Source organism: Homo sapiens, chromosome X (assembly GCF_000001405.40).
Source record: "Homo sapiens chromosome X, GRCh38.p14 Primary Assembly".
NCBI lineage: Eukaryota > Metazoa > Chordata > Mammalia > Primates > Hominidae > Homo > Homo sapiens.
The window spans coordinates 98,386,151-98,407,265 of record NC_000023.11 but is presented as its reverse complement, the minus strand read 5'-3'; the positions used below and the strand labels follow the sequence as shown (position 1 = coordinate 98,407,265).

The 21,115-nt window shown below is 38.4% G+C and overlaps 1 pseudogene; it reads right to left on the bottom strand.

Annotated features, from left to right (window-relative positions):
* Positions 1–16,130: 16,130 nt before the first annotated feature.
* EEF1A1P15 (eukaryotic translation elongation factor 1 alpha 1 pseudogene 15) lies at positions 16,131–17,819 on the bottom strand (annotated as a pseudogene).

The following is a 21,115-nucleotide window of genomic DNA, read 5'->3' as shown; positions in this document are numbered from 1 at the left end:
GTACTAAGATCTTTCAATCAACAAACCCTAGAATTGAAGAAATGGGAAGTGAAAATCATGAGTGTTTTATTAGGTGTAATAATGAGAAAGAGGTGCCATTCCCACTTTCTCCCATTGGTTCTCAGACCTATGGGACCTATAATTATGGAAGAAGCTGGACCATACATTGATCACTGGTTTAGATTAAATACTGCATCCCATAGAAGGGTATCCCAACCTCACATATCTGTCTCCTAACTGACATAATCATTATGTCTTTAGTAGGGTGTATCATTCCAAAAACCAATTTGCTTCTAGGTGGCAGTTTTTCATAAGACCAGTGAATCACATGGAAATCAGCCAACTCATTGCCTTACTTCTTTTCTTTTGCTAAAAGATAAATTCTTTTGTTAAAGGTAATATTGTGTGGGATAGTATGACTGTGTTTATGGCATTCAGTAAATTAACAGAAGCAAGAAAGAAAATCAAAATATTTTATCCCAGCAAAAATAATAAAATAATAATAATAATAATAATAATAATAATAATAATAATAATAATGCAGCCACTTTGGGAGGCCAAGGCAGGTGGATCACCTGAGGTCAGGAGTTCGAGATCAGCCTGGCCAACATGGTGAAACCCTGTCTCTACTAAAAATACAAAAATTAGCAGGGTGCACATTTGTAGTCCCAGCTACTTGGGAGGCTGAGGCAGGAGAATTGCTTGAACCCCAGAGGCAGAGGTTGCAGTGAGCAGAGATTGTGCCAATGCACTCCAACCTGGGTGACAGAGTGAGACTCTGTCTCAAAAATAAATAAATAAATAAAATAAAATAATAATAATAATGCAGCCCTCTTCATGACAAAGTTCACTGTTGTCACCTGTTACTAGGTGGTTGACTGGTCCCCGGGTATATAAGGCTCAGAATCAGGTGTTACTGTAGGCAAATTGAGCATTTAGTAAGGCCAACCTTGGTGAGAGAGATTTCCTATTATTGATGCCGGGCAGAAAGTCCATTCCTGCCATCATGGCCATATTTTTCATTAACCCACTGAGTGAGCACTGGAAGACTGAGGAAAGGACTCCAACTGTTATTATAAGAAAATGACATTTTTTATATGATTATTGAAAGCCTGTTCTGCCAAGGATGACTTTGGGTGAATGTTTACATGAGATACAAACATTCTCCCACTTGGTGCCAATTCTAAGTGATCCATGCAGAAGCCTTTTACTTAAACTTTCTTATCACCAATCCTCCAATTTTATTCTTTCAAACTTTCTGATCACCCAGCCAAACCATTAGCCACTACCCATGAATAACTAATGATCCACACCTGAGGCCATATATCCTTCCAGACAAAGTGAACAATGAGATATACAGCTTGAATTTTAGCCAATTGGAAGGATTTTTCTTCATCAGTGTCTTTCAGGGTAACCTCTAAGTGAGCCTGTAATACTGCAGTAGTCCACTTTTTACTAGTGTCAGCACATTATTCAGAACCATCTATAAACCAGGCTAAATTTTTTTCTCCTTTGTTAGCTGGTCATCAAAAAATCTCCAGGAAGTCAAAGGTGTCATTTGCAAGAAGAATGCCAGTGCAGCTGAAATAGGCATATTGGGAGTATGAGTCATCTACCCATACAAATTACTTAGGCCTTCAGGATCTCTTCAAATCTAATCTTGTGTATACCACTTGCTCTGAATTATGAAATGCTGTTGTATGTCCAAGTTTATGTCTTAGTGAATCAAATTACACCTGTCTCATGATGATTAGCTCAGGTCATATTAGTACTTGATGTGGAGCCAAGATCAGCAAGTTAGGAGCTGTTTCTCAAAGAGAAAACGATGACTTGCCAAAGTAAACAAACTGTGTTCCAAAACCCTTTGGGTCTGCATTGAGTTTCTTCTTGCTACAGGAGGTTTATTCCAGGATCCATCCTGCATCCCAACATGCCATGGGCACATTTCATATTTATGAGTCTACTGGGTCATAAGATCCAAGTGTCAGAGCAACTTGTTTGCAGCTTTCATTTGCTCCAGGCCCCGTTATAAAATTTTTTGTTCCTAGCCTTACAACATGGGCTCCACTAGTATAGAGATCTTTAACCCAATGAAGGAATAATTCTACATGGAACTCAACCATGGATCCTACCTCTTAATACTATTTAGATTTTTCACTACCTTCAGTAGCAACTCAACCAGAAACCAATTCCAGATCTCCCATAGGTCCTAGAAGATATGCTGCTGCAGCCAATCCTTATTGGAGTAATACTAATGTCTATATCACTTAGTATTCTTAGATGCCAGCAACAGAAAACAACTTTGGCTAGTTAAGCATAAAAGAAGTTTATTCAAGGATATCAAGGATATTAAAAAGCACTCAGAATCTCTAAAAGTATAAGATAATCTGGCATAAAAAATATTAATTAAAAAAATAAAGAAATACCAAAATTGCACCACAGAATTGATCCAGTGATAAATTCATTACCATTTTCAATGCCATTGTTTCTTCCACTTGAAGCAAACAACAATTTACATACTGCTGTTGTCTGAATATGTCTTTCCTATATGTTGAAACCTGATTGGCAATGTGATAGTATTAAGATGTGGGGTCTTTGGGGAGGTGACTAGATCATAAGCATGGAGCCCTCATAAATGGAATTAGTGCCCTTATAAAAGGGTCCCCAGAGGGCTGCCTTGTCCCTTCTGCCATGTGAGGACCCAATAAGAAGGCACAGTCCATGAGGAATGGACTATTAACAGACACTGAATCCATTGCTGCCTTAATCTTAAACTTTCTAGCCTCCAGAATTGTGAGAAACTAATTTCTGTTGTTTATAATATACCTGGTGTATCATGTTTTTGTTATAGCAGCCTGAATGGACTAAGACACAGACCCTGAGCCCTGGATTATATCACAAGACTCACTGGCACTGTTACCTCTAGAAATTGAATTTCTTTATGCCATTAATATGTAATAAGTTCCTACCACATGCCAGGCACTGTTCTCAGTGCTAGAGACATATCAGTGAAAACAAAAAGAGAAAAAAAATACTTGCTCTCATGGAACTTACAGTTCAGTGAAGGAAGAGAGACAAAAAGCAGATTTATTAGATGCTTATAATTACTAGGAAGAGAAAGAAGGCAGCAGAACAGGGACAGGGAAAATTACATTGGAATTGCAATTTTAAGTAAGATGACCAGAAAGAGACCTCCTGAGAAACTGACATATGAGTAAAAACCCAAAGGTAAACCAGCAACAATTCATCCAACTATCTGGATAAGAGCATTTCAAGGAAAGATAGCAGCAAGTCCAGAGGCTCTAAATTTGGAGCATACCTGAGATATTCCAGGAACAGCAAGGAGGCCAGTATGGTTAAAGAGACTAAGCAAGGGATATGAGATCAGATCATGTAAGGTTCTGTAGACCAAAGTTATGGCTTTAGCTTTTACTCTGATTAAGATAGAAAATCACTGGAAAATTTTGAGCAGAAGAGTGACCTGATCTCGCATATTCTGATAGGGTAACTCTGTCTGCTGTGTAGGCAGCCTGAAAGAATGACGAATGCATGCATTCATTCATTCAACAAATATTTATTGAATACCTACTATTCCAGACATATTTTTAGGGGCTAGAATGAATAGCAAATAAGACAAAAATTCTTGAGCTCTTGAAGCTTATAATACAGTAGGAGAAAACAGAATATAAATAACCAAATAAATATATAATATACATGGTAGTGGTGATAAATGCTCTGAAGAAATACAAGGAAGGATTAAGGAAGTATAGCACAGCATGAATGGGAAATACATTTTTAGCTTAGGTGACCAAGCAATTTCCCTCTGACACAGAGACATTAGACCAGAGATATGAATGAGGTAAAGGGGTAAGCCATGCAGGTGCCTGGGAAAAGAATGTTCTGAGCAAATTATACAGTGAGTCCAAAGACCCTGATATGTGAGCATGGTTGGTGTATTCTAAGAACAGCTAGGAGGCCTGTGTGGGTAGGACAGAGTAAGAGAAGAGACAACAGTGGTTTTATTTATTTATTTGTTTATTTGTTTATTTATTTATTTATTTTTGAGATGAAGTTGTCCAGGCTGGAGTGCAGTGGCACCATCTTGGCTCACTGCAACCTCTGTCTCCAGGATTCAATCGATTCTTCTGCCTCAGCCTCCTGAGTAGCTGGGATTACAGGCATGTGCCTCCATGTCTGGCTAATTTTTGTATTTTTAGTGGAACTGGGGTTTCGCCATATTGGTCAGGCTGGTCTCAAACTCCTGACCTCAAGTGATCCACCCGCCTCAGCCACCCAAAGTGCTGGGATTACAGGCATGAGCCACTGCACCTGGCCAACAGTGGCTTTAAATGAAGGCAAAGATATATGAAAGTACTTTATCATATGAGGCCTTGTAGGCCATTGCAATCATTTTGGGTTTTATTTTGAGTGACATAAGAAGCCATTGAAGGGTCTTGACCAGAAAAGTGACATAATTTGACATGTTTTTTTGTCTTAGTCAGCTCAGGCTGTTATAACAAAATACCATAAACAGATGGCTTATAAGTAACAGAAACTTATTTCTCACAGTTCTGGAGGCTAGTAAGTCTTAGATTGAGGTGCTGGCTTATTCAGTGTCTGGTGAGGGCTCCCTTCATAGATAGTCATTTTAACTTTATATGGCAGAATCAGGGAGGGTTGTTCTCTTTTGAGTCTCTTTTATAAGAACACTAATCCCATTTATAAGGGTAGAGCCTAATCACCTCTCAAAGGTCTCACCTTCAAATACCATCACCTTGAGCTTTGAATTTTTTTTTTTTTTTTTTTTTTTGAGACGGAGTCTCGCTCTGTCACCCAGGCTGGAGTGCAGTGGCGTGATCTCGGCTCACTGCAAGCTCCGCCTCCTGGGTTCACGCCATTCTCCTGCCTCAGCCTCCCAAGTAGCTGGGACTACAGGTGCCCACCACCACGCCTGGCTAATTTTTTTTTTATTTTTAGTAGAGATGGGGTTTCACCATGTTAGCCAGGATGGTCTCGATCTTGAGGTTAGGATTTCAATATACAAATATGGAGGTGATAAACATATTCAGACCATAGCACCGTTAAATCATCTTTTAGCAGCTATGTGGAGAACAAACTCATGGAGATTGTGGTCAGGTGTTCTATCTCTACCACAGGCCCATTCCTCACCTGAGGGCATGTTTTGAAAGTTGTAAATGCATCCAAAACTGCTCATCAGGATCTGGGTTCTCTCACATCAAACAAGTCTTAATGTCAGGCAGAATCAAGATCAGTCCATCATTAGTTGGAGGCAGTACATCCAGGATCAAGCACTAGCAGGGTCAAAAGTCAATTGTAAATTGCAAGAGCAAGTGGTCTTTACCCCCAAATCATCTGCTATGTTACACTAGTTTCTCTTCTAAGTTCACCCCTATAGTCAGATGGAGACAGTCCCTTATGATCGGCTAATGGAAAAAGAAAAACGCTAAGCTTAGTTCATGACTGGATCAGCTTAATATATGGGTGGAAGCTGAAAATGAACTCTGGCTGCTCGAGAGCCCTACTCAGGGGTGGCTTTAAAGGATAGTCATGAAGAAAAATCCTTCCAGTGGCCAGAATTCCTTGTGATGCAACAGATTATCCAATTTGTGAGAAAAAAATTGGCCAGAAGTTAGAATGTATGTGAACTTACAGGCAGCAGAAAATGGCTTGGCTGTTTGGTCAGGAACCTAGAAGAAAAAAGATTGAAAAATCAAGGATAAAGAGGTCAGTGTAAGAAACATAGTGGATTGACTTATGGGAATTGGCGTGCAATGTGAAGATACTGTTTTGCATTTTAACACTTACCAGAGAGCATGAAAGAGGCACTAAATAACAAGAGAAAACATAATTAGGCCAATTAGGCTACTCCAGTCTGGTACAATGGGCATATGCATGAAAAAACCCTCATCACAAGTATGGAGGCTAAGCATGGGCTAAACATCATTGAGTCTCACTAACCAAGACTGATCTAGCTACCACTGCCGCCAAACGTAGAACCCCAGCTATAAACAGAGACTATATCTGAGTCACTATCATGGCACTTTCCCTCAAGGAGACCAATCAGCCACTTGGTGGCAAGGAAATTACATCAGATGCCTTCCATCCTGGATTGTGGAGGCAATTCTCTTTATTATTGGAATTGGCATATATCCTAGCTATGAGCTTTCCTTTCTTCCCTTGGCCAGCATGACTACCTGGGAACTTACAGAGCGCTTGCTGCCTCAATAGGATACCACACAATTTTGTTGGAGATCAAGGGACCAGCTTTACAAAAAAGGGATTTTAGTAGTGGGCTTATATCCATGAGATTCTCTGATCCTATGACATACTGCATAATTTAGATGCTGCTCACCTATAAATTGATGTAATAATAAAGAATCAATTGAGAAGCCAGCTTGAGACCATATCTTAAAAGGATGGGGTACAACCCACAAGGATATGGTATGTAACCTAATTAAATGACCTTTATATAATGCCATCTCCCCAGTATGTATCATACATGTCTCTGAGAGCCCAGAGGTAAAAGTAGGAATGGCCCTGCTTATAATCACCCTCATTGACCCACTTGGCAATGTGTGCTTCTTATCTCTGCAACTTCAGGCTCTGTGGATGCATTCATTTCCTATTGCTGCTGTAACAAATTTCCACAAACTTAGCAGCTAAAAATGACACAAATGTTAACCCATAGTTCTGTAGCTAAGATGTTATGGTTGGCTCTTTCTGTCAAGGGTCTCATAAAGCTGATATCAAGGTATCGACTGATGTGGCATCTTATCTCAAGGTTCTGGAGTAGAATCTACTACCAAGATTTTGAGGTTGTTGGATGAATTTAGTTCTTTATGGATGTAGGCCTGGGGTCCTCATTTCATTGCTGGCTCTCAGCTGGAAACCTGTTTCCACTCATTAAGGTCACCTGCATTCCTCATCATGTTGCCTCCTCCATCTTAAAACCAGCAACAGCGTATCAGGTCCTTCTCATGCTTTAAATCTCTGACTTTTTCTTCTAATGCATCTCTTCTTTTTTTTTTTTTTTTTTTTTTTTTTGAGATGGAGTCTTGCTCTGTTGCCCAGGCTGGAGTGCAGTGGCATGATCTCGGCTCACTGCAAGCTCCACCTCCCGGGTTCATGCCATTCTCCTGCCTCAGCCTCCCAAGAACACTTTCCTGCTTTTAAGAATCCATGTGATTAGTTTGGGCCTACCTGGCTACCAGAATAATTTCTCTCTCTTAAGGTCGGCTGATTAGTAACCTTAATTACATCTGTAAAGTTCCATTTGCCATGTAATGTAACATAGTCACAGTGACTAGGGATTAGGACATAGAAATTTTCAGGGGTCTAGAAATCCTGGTTCCAAGGGAGAATGTGCTTAAACCAGGGATATAGTAAAAATCCTTATTAACTTTAAGTTACAGCTGCCCTCTGGTAACTTTAGGCTCTGAGAACCAAGAGACCAACAAGCAAAAAAATTAGTCACCATATTGGCAGGGGTATTTGACTTTGATAACCTGGAGGAGATAGGATAGCTATTACATAATGGGAACAGGGAAGAATACATTTGGGATTCTATTTATCCATTGTCTATTTGTACTCTCCTGCCCAGTATTGTAGTAAATGGACAAGGGCAGAAGCCATGACCTGAGAAAGGCATAGTGACTGCTATGGCTTAAATGTGTCTCCTCCAAAATTCACATTGAAATTTAATCCCCATTGTCATGGTATTGAGATGGGGCCTTTGGAGAAGTGATTAAGTCATGAGAGCTGAGAGCTTTGCCCTCACAAATGGATAATAAAAGGGTTGGAGGGAACTAGCTTAGGCCCATTTTGGTTCTTCTGCTATTCTAATATGTGAGGACACAGCATTCGTCCCCTTTTTTGCCCTTCCACCTCCCACCATGGGAGGATCAGCAAGAAGGCCCTCAGCAGACACTGTATGCCACCACCTTGATCTTTGGACTTCCTGGCCTCCAAAACTGTAAAAAAATTAATTTCTGTTTATTATAAATTACCCAGTCTCTTGTATTTTGTTATACTAGCACAAATGGACTAAGACAGTGACATGGGACTCAGAACCCTTGGGGATGAGAGTGTTTTGGTCTTCTTGAGCTGTATTAACAAAATATCACAGTCTAGATGGCTTAAACAACAAAAATTTATTTCCTCATAATTCTCGAGGCTAGAACTCCCAGATCAAGGTCTGGAAAAGTTTAGTTTCTGATAAGGCCTTCCTTTCTGGCTTGCAGACAGCCTCTTTGTTCTCACATATCTTTCCGTTGGTGTAAGTGCATGAAAAGTGAAAGAAATCTCCTCTCTTCCTCTTCTTATAGGGCCAGCAATCTTATCAGATTAGGGCCCTGTATTAGTCTGTTCTCACATTGCTATAAGGAACTACCCAAGACTGGGTAATTTATGAAGAAAAGAGGTTTGACTCACAGTTTCACAGGCTTAGCAGGAAGTATGACCAGGAGGCCTCTGAAACTTACAATCATGGCAGAAGGCAAAAAGGAAGTGAACACATCTTCACATGTCCAAGCAGCAGACAGAGTGTGAAGGGGGAAGTGCTACACACTTTCAATCAAACAGATCTCGTGAGAACTCTATCACAAGAATAGCAAGGAGGAAGTCTGCCCCATGATTCAATCACCTCCCACCAGACCCCTCCCCTGACATGTGGGTATTACAATTAGACATGAGATTTGGGTGGGGACACATAGCCAAACCATATCAGGCCCTATGCTTATGACCTCATTTCATTTTAATTACCTCCTGAAGGCCCTATGTTCAAATACAGTCACACAAGTGACTGGGGTTAGGAATTCAACTTACGAATTTTGGAGGAACACATTCAGTCCATTGAAGAGAGTATGGTCATCTCACCAGGTAAGCCCCCTGGATCAATAGGGGTACTAACTGATGGTAAAGGGAATCTAGCAAATATGAAAAAAGAGGGATTAAGAGTATCTGTTTTGGCCTCAAGACAGCTATAGCAACAAGAACTGATACCACTAACCTTTTTTTTATGTCTTCCAAGAAAAAAGGACAAGATCTTGGTGGTGTTTTCTCCGACACCACTTCTGAAACCAAATGTGTACATGTTTTATTCTGACACCAATAACCAATTCTCTGACACCAACTGGGTGTCCAATAATTCAGGTTAATTCTGAAGCTAACTCCCAGAGTTAGCACATAAACAACAGGTTAAGGGCTTAGTCCCACAAGACTTCCCCAACTTCAGATACCAGTTACAAGTCCTAAGAACCACCTATACTTCTGACCAACTAGCTATAAATTCAGGAGTTTCCACAACTCCAAATACCTCCTCAGGTTTGATAATTGAGTAGAACAACCCACAGAACTCAAGATAATAGTTTAGTTAGGTGTACTGGTTTATTATGAAGGCTACAAAATGGAAATAGCTAACTGGAAGAAATACATGGGGCAAGTTATGGGAGAGGGGATATGGAGCTTCCATTCCCATTATGAATGCACCATTCTCCTAGCATTTCAATGTGTTCAGCAACTCCAAAGCTCTCTGAATCCTATTGTCCAAGAGTTTTTATAGAACTCAAACTCAGCCTCCATTCCCTCCCCAGTTGTTAGGAGATGGGACTGAAAATTCTAACCCTCTAATCATGAGTTTTTGTCTTTCTAGTGACTAACCCCCTACCTAAAGCTATTTGGGACCCCATGCTTAGTCATTTCATTAGCATAAACGCAGATGATGTTAAAAGGGATTCATTATGAATAACAAAAGGCACTACTATCACTCAGGAAGTGCCAATGATCTGTGCCAAGAACTGAGTACAAAGATCAAATATATTAAATGATGTATTATACAAAAATATATATTGTATGATATATATTTACATAAATTCATATCTATATATTTAAAATATATTTTCATAAATAAATATATATTTATATAAAATTAATATGTATATTTATTTATATAAAACTTATTTGTTTATTTATTTATTTTAACAATGCAAAGAGATTCTTTAATGAGTTTCAATGGCCTTTTCTTGGCATTTTATAACCTTGACATCCAGCTCCATCCAGCTTCAAGCCTGGTAGAATCTGAGACCCTGACTGCTCATCATTGAAAAACTTCAGCACCTTGGAATAGCCCAGACTAAAATGGAGGCTACAAAAATGATTGGTGAATGAACAGAAGAATGTTATGTAAAAAAAAAAAAAAATACACCCTTTGGCCAAAGTGACATTTTTCTAATTTTAATTTTAACTCCCTTCTGTTTTTTGTCCAACTGGTTAACAACTTCATTATCAAAAATTTGAAAGCCATAATGTAGAAGTCCCTTATGCATCTCTTCTCTATGCTAATCCATACCCGATTCCTTTAACTTGTACTTTTCTTTGAATCAGTTTATAAATATATATATATATATATATATATATATTTATATTTATACTTTAAGTTCTGGGATACATGTGCAGAACATGCAGGTTTGTTACATAGTTATACATGTACCATGGTGGTTTGTTGCACCCATCAACCCGTCATCTACCTTAGGTATTTCTCCTAATGCTCTCCCTCCTCTTGTCCCCTACCCCTTGACAGGCCCTGGTGTGTGATATTCCCCTCCCTGTGCCCATGTGTTCTCATTGTTCAACTCCCACTTATGAGTGAGAACATGAGGTGTTTGGTTTTCTGTTCCTGTGTTATTTTGCTGAGAATGATGGTTTCCAGCTTCATCCATGTCCCCGCAAAGGACATGAACTCATTCTTTTTTATGGCTGCATAGTATTCCATGGTGTATTTGTATCACATTTTCTTTATCCAGTCTATTATTGATGGGCATTTGGGTTGGTTCCAAGTCTTTGCTATTGTGAATAGTGCTGCAATAAACATATGTGTGCATGTGTCTTTATAGTAGAATGATTTCTAATCCTTTGGGTATATACCCAGTAATGGGATTGTTGGGTCAAATGGTATTTCTGGTTCTAGATCCCTGAGGAATTGCTACACTGTCTTCCACAATGGTTGAACTAATTTACACTCCCACCAACCGTGTAAAAGCATTAATATTTCTCCACATCTTCTCCAGTATCTGTTGTTTCCTGACTTTTTAATGATTGTCATTCTAACTGGCGTGAGATGGTATCTCATTGTGATTTCGATTTGCATTTCTCTAATGACCAGTGATGATGAGCTTTTTTTCATGTGTTTGTTGGCCACATAAATATCTTCTTTTGAGAAGTGGCTGTTCATATCCTTTGCCCACTTTTTGATGGGGTTGTTTTTTTCTTGTAAATTTGTTTAAGTTCCTTGTAGATTCTGGATATTAGACCTTTGTCAGATGGATAGATTGCAAACATTTTCTCCCATTCTGTAGGTTGCCTGTTCACTCTGATGATAGTTTCTTTTGCTGTGCAGAAGCTCTTTAGTTTAATTAGATCCCATTTGTCTATTTTGGCTTTTGTTGCCATTGCTTTTGGTGTTTTAGTCATGAAGTCTTTGCCCATGCCTATGTCCTGAATGGTATTGTCTAGGTTTTCTTCTAGGGTTAATATGGTTTTAGGTCTTACGTTTAATTATTTAATCTATCTTCAGTTAATTTTTGTATAAGGTGTAAGGAAGGGGTACAGTTTCAGTTTTCTGCTTGTGGCTAGCCAGTTTTCCCAACACAATTTATTAAATAGGGAATCCTTTCCCCATTGCTTGTTTTTGTCAGGTTTGTCAAAGATCAGATGGTCGTAGATGTGTGGTGTTATTTCTGAGGCCTCTGTTCTGTACCATTGGTCTATATATCTGTTTTGGTACCAGTACCATGCTGTTTTGGTTACTGTAGCCTTGTAGTATAGTTTGAAGTCAGGTAGTGTGATGTCTCCAGCTTTGTTCTTTTGGCTTAGGATTGTCTTGGCTATACGGGCTCTTTTCTGTTTCCATATGAATTTTAAAGTAGTTTTTTTCTAATTCTGTGAAGAAAGTCAATAGTAGCTTGATGGGAATAGCATTGAATTTATGAATTACTTTGGGCAGTATGGCCATTTTCACGATATTGATTCTTTCTATCTATGTGCATGGAACGTTTTTCCATTTGTTTGTGTCCTCTCTGATTTCCTTGAGCAGTGGTTTCTAGTTCTTTTTGAAGAGGCCCTTCACATCCCTTGTAAGTTGTATTCCTAGGTGTTTTATTATCTTTGTAGCAATTGTGAATGGGAGTTCACTCATGATTTGGCTCTCTGTCTATTATTGGTGTATAGGAATGCTTGTGATTTTTGCACATTGATTTTGTATCCTGAGACTTTGCTGAAGTTGCTTATCAGCTTAAGGAGTTTTGGGGCTGAGATGATGGGGTTTTCTAAATATACAATCATGTCATCTGCAAACAGAGACAATTTGACTTCCTCTCTTCCTATTTGAATACCTTTATTTTTTTCTCTTGCCTGATTGTGCTGGACAGAACATCCAATAATATGTTGAATAGGAGTGGAGAGAGAGGGCATGGAGAGAAAGGGCATTCTTGTCTTGTGCCAGTTTTCAAAGGGAATGCTTCCAGCTTTTGCCCATTCAGTATGATATTGGCTGTAGGTTTGTTATAAATAGCTCTTACTATTTTGAGATATGTTCCATCAATACCTAGTTTATTGAGTGTTTTTAGCATGAAGAGGCATTGAAGCATGTCTAAGGCCTTTTCTGCATCTATTGAAATAATCTTGTGGTTTTTGTCATTGGTTCTGTTTATGTGATCAATTCATTTATTGATTTGCGTCTATTAAACCAGCTTTGCATCCCAAGGATGAAGCTGACTTGATTGTAGTGGATAAGCTTTTTAATGTGCTGCTGGATTCAGTTTGCCAGTCTTTTATTGAGGATTTTCCCACTGATGTTCACTAGGGATACTGGCCTGAAATTTTCTATTTTTGTTGTGTCTCTGCCAGGTTTTAGTATCAGGATAAGGCTGGCCTCATAAAATGAGTTAGGGAGGAGTCTCTCTTCTTCTATTGTTTGGAATAATTTCAGAAGGAATGGTACCAGCTCTTCTTTGTACCTCTGGTACAATTCGGCTGTGAATCTATCTGGTCCTGGGCTTTCTTTGGTTTGTAGGCTGTTAATTACTGCCTCAATTTCAGAGCTTGTTATTGGTCTATTCAGGGATTTGACTTCTTCCTGGTTTAGTCTTGGGAGGGTCTATGTGTCCAGGAATTTATCCACTTCTTCCAGATTTTCGAATTTATTTGCATAGAGGTATTTCTAGTATTCTCTGATGGTAGTTTCTATTTCTGTGGGATCAGTGGTGATATCCCCTTTTTAATTTTTATTGTGTCTATTTGATTCTTCTCTCTTTTCTTTATTATTAGTCTGGCTAGCGATCTATTTTGTTAATCTTTATGAATATAATATAAAATTAATATGTATATTTTTCTAAAACTTCTATATATTTATAGAAAATTAATGCTTATTATATAAAATATATCTATATTTATATAAAATAAATACATGTATAGAAAATAAATTTATATAAACTAAATATATATTTATATAAACTAAATATATTTGAAATAAATATATTTTTGAAATATATTTATTTCAAAAATATATTTTATAATATAAATATATATTTAGATAACATAAATATATATTCATATTTACATATAAATATTTATATACAAATTTATTTGTATATAAATATATTATATATTTATATTAGCTAAATATATTATATAAATATATAAAATCTATTTCTATATTAGACAAATATCTATAATATATATATTTTTCTCATTAAAATTTGTTTTATGGGTCTCAAAATTCTGTGACATATTTTTGGTCAAGTTGTTTCCATTGAAAGTACTGATTTTACATAAATAGAACTAAAAACAAAAGCACATAATCATCTCAATAGATGCCATAAAGGCTTTCAATACTAATAAATTCAACATCCCTTCATGTTAGAAACCCTCAACAAACTAGACATCAAAGTGATATATCTCAGAATAAGAGCCATCTATAAAAAACCCACAGCCAACATCATACTGAACGGCAAAAGCTGAAAGCATTTCCCTTGAGAACCAGAACAAGACAAGGATGCCCACTCTCACCACGCCTGTTGAAGATAGTGCTGAAAGTCCTAGCCAGAGCCATCAGGCAAGAGAAAGAAATAAAAGGCAACCAAATAGGAAGAAAGAAAGGAAGTCATATTATCTCTCTTCCCATGTCATATGATTCTATACCTGGAAACCCCATAGTCTCTGCCCAAAGGCACCTCGATCTGATAAACAACTTCAGCAAAGTTTCAGGATACAAAATCAATGCACCAAGCTGAGAGAAAAGTCAAGAAAGTAATCCCATTCACAATAGCCACAAAAAGAATAAAATACCTATGAATACAGCTAACAAGGAAGGTGAAATATTTCTACAGCAAGAATTATAAAACAATGCTGAAATAAATCAGACATGACATAAACAAATGGAAAAACATTCCAGCTCATGGATAGGAACAATCAATATTGTTAAAATGGTCATAGTGCCCAAAGCAATTCACAGATTCAATGCTATTCCTATCAAACTACCAGTGACATTTTTCACAGAATTAGAAAAAAAACCACACACACACTCTAAAATTTATAAGGAATGAAAAAAGAGCCTGACTAGCCAAAGCAATCCTAAGCAGAAGGAACAAAGCTGGAGTCATCACCTGACCAGACTTCAAACTATACTACAATGATACAGTAAACAACATGGCATGGTATTGGCACAAAAATAGACACATAGACCAATGGAACAGGTTAGAGAACCCTGAAATAAAGCCACACATCTACAATCATCTGATCTTCAACAAAGCTGACAAAAACAAGCAATGGGGAAAGGACCATTCAATAAATGGTACTGGGATAACTGGCTAGCCACATGCAGAAGATTGAACCTGGATTCCTTCCTTTCGACATATATAAAAATCAACTCGAGATGGATTAAACACTTAAATGTGATACCTAAAACCAGGAAAAACCTAGAAGAAAATCTAGGAAGTATCATTTGGACATAGGCCCTGGCAAAGATTTCATGATTCAGACAACAAAAGCAACATAAAAAAAATTGACAAGTGGGACCTAATTAAACTAAAGAACTTCTGAACAACAAAAGAAATTATCAACAGAATAAACATACAAACTGCAGAATGGGATAAAATATTTGCAAACTATGCATCTGACAAAGGTCTAATATTCGGAATCTATAAGGAACTTAAATTAACAAGCAAAAAACAACCCCATTAAAAAATGGGCAAAGGACATGAACAGATACTTCTCAAAAGACAAAACAGATGCAGCCAACAAGCATATGAAAACATGCTCAACATCGCTAATCATTAGAGCAATGCAAATCAAAACCACAATGTGATACCATTTCATACCAGTCAGAATGGCTGTTATTAAAAACTCTAAAAATAACAGGTGCTGGCAAGGTTGCAGAGAAAAGGGAACATTTACACACCACTGGTGGGAATGTAAATTAGTTTAGCCACTGTGGAAAGCAGTTGGAAATTTCTCAAAGAATTTAATACAGAAATACCATTTGATCCAGCAATTCTATTGCTGGGTATAAACCCAAAGAAATATTAAATTGTTCTACCATAAAGACACATGCATGTGTATGTTCATCCCAGCACTATTCACAATAGCAAAGACATGAAAGCAACCTATATAACCATCAGTGGTGGACTGGATAAAGAAAATGTGGTACATGTACACCACAGAACTCTGCATTGCCATAAAGAAGAACAATATCATGTCCTTTGCATTGACATCAATAGAGCTGGAGGCCATTATTCCGAATGAACTAACAAAAGAACAGAAAACCAAATACTGCCTGTTCTGACTTACAAGTGGAAGCTAAACATTGAGCACATATGGACACAAAGAAGGGGAAAATAGACAAAAGACACTTGGGCCTACTTAAGGTGGAGGGTGGGAGGAGGATGAGGATCAAAAACTACCTATCTGGTACTATGCTCGTTACCTGGGGGACAAAATAATCTGTACATCAAATCCCCATGACACACACTTCACCCATGTAACAAATCCACACATATACTTTCTGAACTTAAAAAATAGAAGTCAGAAAAAAGAAAATAAAAAATACTGATTTTAAAAACTAATAACTTAAAACTGCCACATGCAAAAAAATAAAAATAAAAATAAGGAAACCATTTTGGGGTTCTCCTTTTATTTTGAAGGTTTTGTGATGCATCCTTATCATTAACCAGACTTTTACTATTAAATGGTCAACTGAAACAAACAGTTCTGGGACCATTCTTCTACCACTGATTAAGACTGGGGTGGCAGGTATTAGAGATAATATGCATTTAGGCTTCTGAGCTTTCTGGGAATATTTGGTGACCTTGTCAGCTCCAACAGCAATCTGGTCCACTGCTTTGATGACATCCACAGCAACTGTCTGTCTCATATCACCAAGAGCAAAACAATCCAGAGGAGGATAGTCAGAGAAGCTCTCAACACACATGGGCTAGCCAGGAATCGTATCCATGATGGCAGCATCGCCAGACTTCTAGAATATAGGGCCATCTTCCAGGTTCTTATCAGAACAGCAATCAATCATTTTCTTCAGCTTGGCAAACCTGCAAGCAATGTGAGCTGTGTGACAATCTAGTACAGGGTCATAGCCAGCACTGACTTAACCTGGATGGTTCAGGATAATCACCTGAGCAGTGAAGCCAATTGGTTGATTATGTTTGCTGTCACCAGCAATGTTGCCATGATGAACATCTTAACAGACAAATTCTAGACATTGAAGCCCAAATTGTCACCAGAAAGAGCTTCACTCAAAGCTTCATGGTGCATTTCAACAGACTTCACTTCAGTTGTAACATTGACTGGAGCAAAGGTGACCACCATGCCAGGTTTGAGAATACTAGCCTCCATTTGGCCACCAGGGACAGTAACAATACAACCAATTTTGTAGACATTCTGGAGAGGCTGATGAAAGGGCTTGTCAGTTGGACAAGTTGGTGATAGGATGCAGTCCAGAGCTTCAAGCAGCATGATTCTATTAGCATTGCCATCTTTACAGGTGACTTTTCATTCCTAGATCCAAGGCATGCTAAGCACTTGGTTCCAGCATATTGTCACCATTCCATCCAGAACTTGGCACACATGCTTCTGTGCTGGGGTTCTAGCCAATTTTGTTTTCTTTTTTCTTTTTTGTACCTATGCCACTTCTTCCAAGAATGCAGCCAATTTTCTTAATGTAAGTGCAGAATTCCTTAATAATTTCTTCATATTTCTTCTGACTGTAGGGTGGCTCAGTGGAATCCATTTTGTTAAGACAAATAATTAATTGTTTCACCCCCAGTATATAAGCCAGAAGGGCATGCTTACAGGTTTGCCTATTCTTGGAGATACTAGCTTCACATTCACCAACACCAGCAGCAAGCATCAGGACAGCATAGTCAGCCTAAGATGTGCCTGTAATCATGTTTTTGATAAAGTTTCTGTGTCTTGGGGCATCAGTAAGTCATGTAGTACTTGCTCATTTCAAATTTCCATGGGGAGATATCAATGGTGACACCACATTCACACTCAGCTTTCAGTTTATGTAAGACCCAGGCATACTTGAAAAAGCCCTTTCCCATCTCAGCAGCGTCCTTCTCAAAGTTTTCAATGGTTCTTTTGTCTACCAGATGGCCATTAGTGGTGGGCTTGCCCGAATCTTGATGTCCAATGACGGTGATGCTGATATGAGCCTTTTCCTTTCCCATTTTGGCTTTTAGGTGTGCTTTTCATGACACCTGTGTTCTGGTGGCAAACCCATTGCTAAAAAGCCAAATACATTTTTTATAATACCACAGAGAGCAACCAGAATCCTGAAAGGAGCCTTTCCCAGATGAGCAAACTTACCATATGAAACAATTAAATTCAAGCATCACAGGGATCAAATGTAGTGAATTTTGGCGATCCATTAGCATCCCTTCTTGCTCATTTTCCCAGTTGTCAGGAGTATTGCTGCTGATGGCTCACTGCTGAGTCCTTCTCTGAACATTGCCCTTAGCCAATAAGAGCTATCTTGTCTAGGTTATAGCCCCTTCCCAGGGACAAGTTGCATACAATGACTGGTCTATGCAAGATACAAGCCCCTGACCCTTTTGCCTTAACTCTGAAGGACATCCTAGTTATAAAGCTCCCCACAGAGTCAGCTAATACCAATGGTTCTTTTGCATTGTAGTTCGGCTTCTCCCTGTGACCAATCCTGCTTCTCTCACAACTTTACTAATGTCATTCCTGAGATCACTCCTCAATAAACCTCTTGCACACACATCTCTGTCTCAGAATCTGTTTAATATCCAAGTTTAAATGCCCAAGTTTAAACAAGAGGTGACCCCAGGAAGCACCAATTGGAAAATAGAGAAGTGAGACAGAAAAGGGAAGAAAGCCAATACAGCATGCATTAATAAACAAAAAGTTTACTTCTGTGTGCAACTGAAGCTCGATCCAGCTGAAGGAGAATTCCAAGAAACTATAGAACATGTCCTAATGTCATCTCTCTGAAGCAGTAAAGAAGTCGGGATATTTATCCACTAATTTCTGTCAATTATTGATTAAGGGCTGATCTAACAGTACTAAATTTCAGTGGCAGCCCACCCGAGTTACAGGTAGAGCACACTCCTGTGGCCAGAGAAAGTCCTCAAGCAGAAAGTCACATGCCTTGCAATAAGAAAATATAAGGAAAAAATTCTAGAACTAAGCCACCGGGGGTTCCAACACTCAAGATATCTGGATGATAAGGATGATCAAGCAAAGTATGCCAAGAAAAAGCAGCCAAAAGGGAAGGAGACAGAAGCCAAGGAGTAAATGATCAAATTATGTCAAATGCAGCTTATAGGAAAATAATATGAGGACTGAGAATTGAGTGTGGGATTTAGGAACATGGAAATCATTGGTAACCTTGTCAAGAGTTACTTCAATGGAGTGACCGCGATAAAAACCTGACTAGTGTGAGATCAAGAGATAACAGAAGGTGATGAACTAAAGACAGTGAGTATTGAGGGGTTTAAGGCAGTTTTGCTAAATGGGGAGCAAAGGAAGTTAAAAATATCTCAAAAAGATGTAACATCGAAGGAGAGTTGTGTCAAAGTGGGATATTGCCACATGTGTGCATACTGATGGAAATGATCTAGTAATGATGGAAAAAAATAGATTAAAGAAAAGGAGAAAAATGACACCTTAATTGTCCATGAGCTGGTAAGAGGCAATGCAATTGAGTGTGCAGGTGTAAAGGCTGCCCTCTACGTATATTCAAAGCATTCACATCTTTTTCATGAAATACCAGATAATGAATTCCAACAAATTAAAGGCACCCTTTGCTTGACTTAACTCTGAATTCTTGAAGTTTGTTCCCTGGCTCTGAATGTCACTGACCTTGTCTCACTTTTTTTGTCCTTAATCACACCACAACTGCACTGATTAACCTCAGTCTACAGTGGAGGACCAATCCTGTCCTTCATCCTGTCCTTAATCAGGAGGTAATGAAGTCTTTCTAGCCCATCTCTCAGCTGTGAGTGACCTTTCTGCTAGTCCAGTGTAAACCAGATGCCTCTATTCTGAAAATAGGCTTCTGCTATTTCCTTGAGTCTTGTTAATACACCTTGAAGAGTAGCAGAATATACCACCCCAAAACGTGGCACCTTGACATAAGGATTTTCTTGAGGCAAAAGCAATTGGGAAGAAGCAGATCCCAAGATACAAAAGCTCTCTGCCCTGCCCCTATTTGCCTAAAAGCAGGACATAAATTTGTAAAGGTGTCTCCCCTCACCACTCAACCAAGAAAAATTGAAATTAATCATCACAGGCAACTCTAGACCCTCAGCAGCCTAGGGACCCCCCAAGATGAGTCTTCATAACAAATGTTACTAACTAGCCCTTATCTTCCATTAGTTTCCCCCATGTATTTACCTTCCCCAAATTTACTTTCCTAGAAACTCAAAGTCCTTTTCCTTTGTTTTGCCACTTCTCTAAATATTTATTTTTATTTTGTTAAGATGTTATATAAGCACACATTTTAACTATCCCTTTGAGTTTCACATCATTTAGTGTCTGTTGCTCGATGTGTATATATGGGGCACATGTTAATCAAATTGTTTGCTTTTCTCTTGCTATTTTATCTTTTGTCAGTCTAATTCACAGGTCCCAGCCAATGAACCTAAAATGGGTAGGGGGAAAAAGGTTTTTCCTCTTCTATAGCCCATTACTTAGATCTCTATAGGACCAGGGACTTCTTTGTCTTACCAGTAATGTCCATCCCTGGGATTTGCCTACAGCCCATGAACCCTCTTATGTTATGGTAGACTTCCTGGAATGCTGCACACCTCCTAGCTTTGATCATTCAATATCACTTGAATCAATGTGCTTGACCATCTTCAGGGATATCCCATTATTCTCTCTCTCTGTTACTGATTCCTTCTCTGGGCATACAATAATGTATTCTGTAGCTATATCTCTGCCTGGTGGTCTGGCAGAACCTGAAGCCGTCTCAGTCACCAGAGGGTCTATGCATTTTGCAATCTGTCCTAAGCCACTATAGATACTTGAGCCATGCTTGGCTATGTCATGAAAAATTATACTGGAATCATTGTAATGTACTAACAAAATACATTAATTGGCATATTTTTGTAGGAAAACTAAATCTCAAACTGCCACTCCATTCTTGCTGTCATTTTCTTTGTTTCCTGCCAAATCAAATAAACCTAGCCAAAACTATTTCTCATGAGCCTGTTGGCTTTATTTTGGCATATAGAATATTTTCAATAATCTACATCATCTTGCTCACATAGAGATACAGTGGTTGACTAACTGGATTAGAAGTTAGGTAAACATTGCCAGCTGTGATTATAAACACAGTGTAGAGCTTCTTGTGACACTCCCCTCCTCCTGCCCTTGTATGGTGCTGTATTTATATTTGCCATGTCAACTAGAAATTGGTTTTAAAAAGTGAACACTGCTTCTTGAGCTTGACCTTCATATTGAATAATTCTAGTTGCTATCCTTTGTAAAGCTTAAATCACAAAGCAGCTTCATTCCATTTGATTATAAATCTTTTACATTATTTCAGTTTTGGCTACTT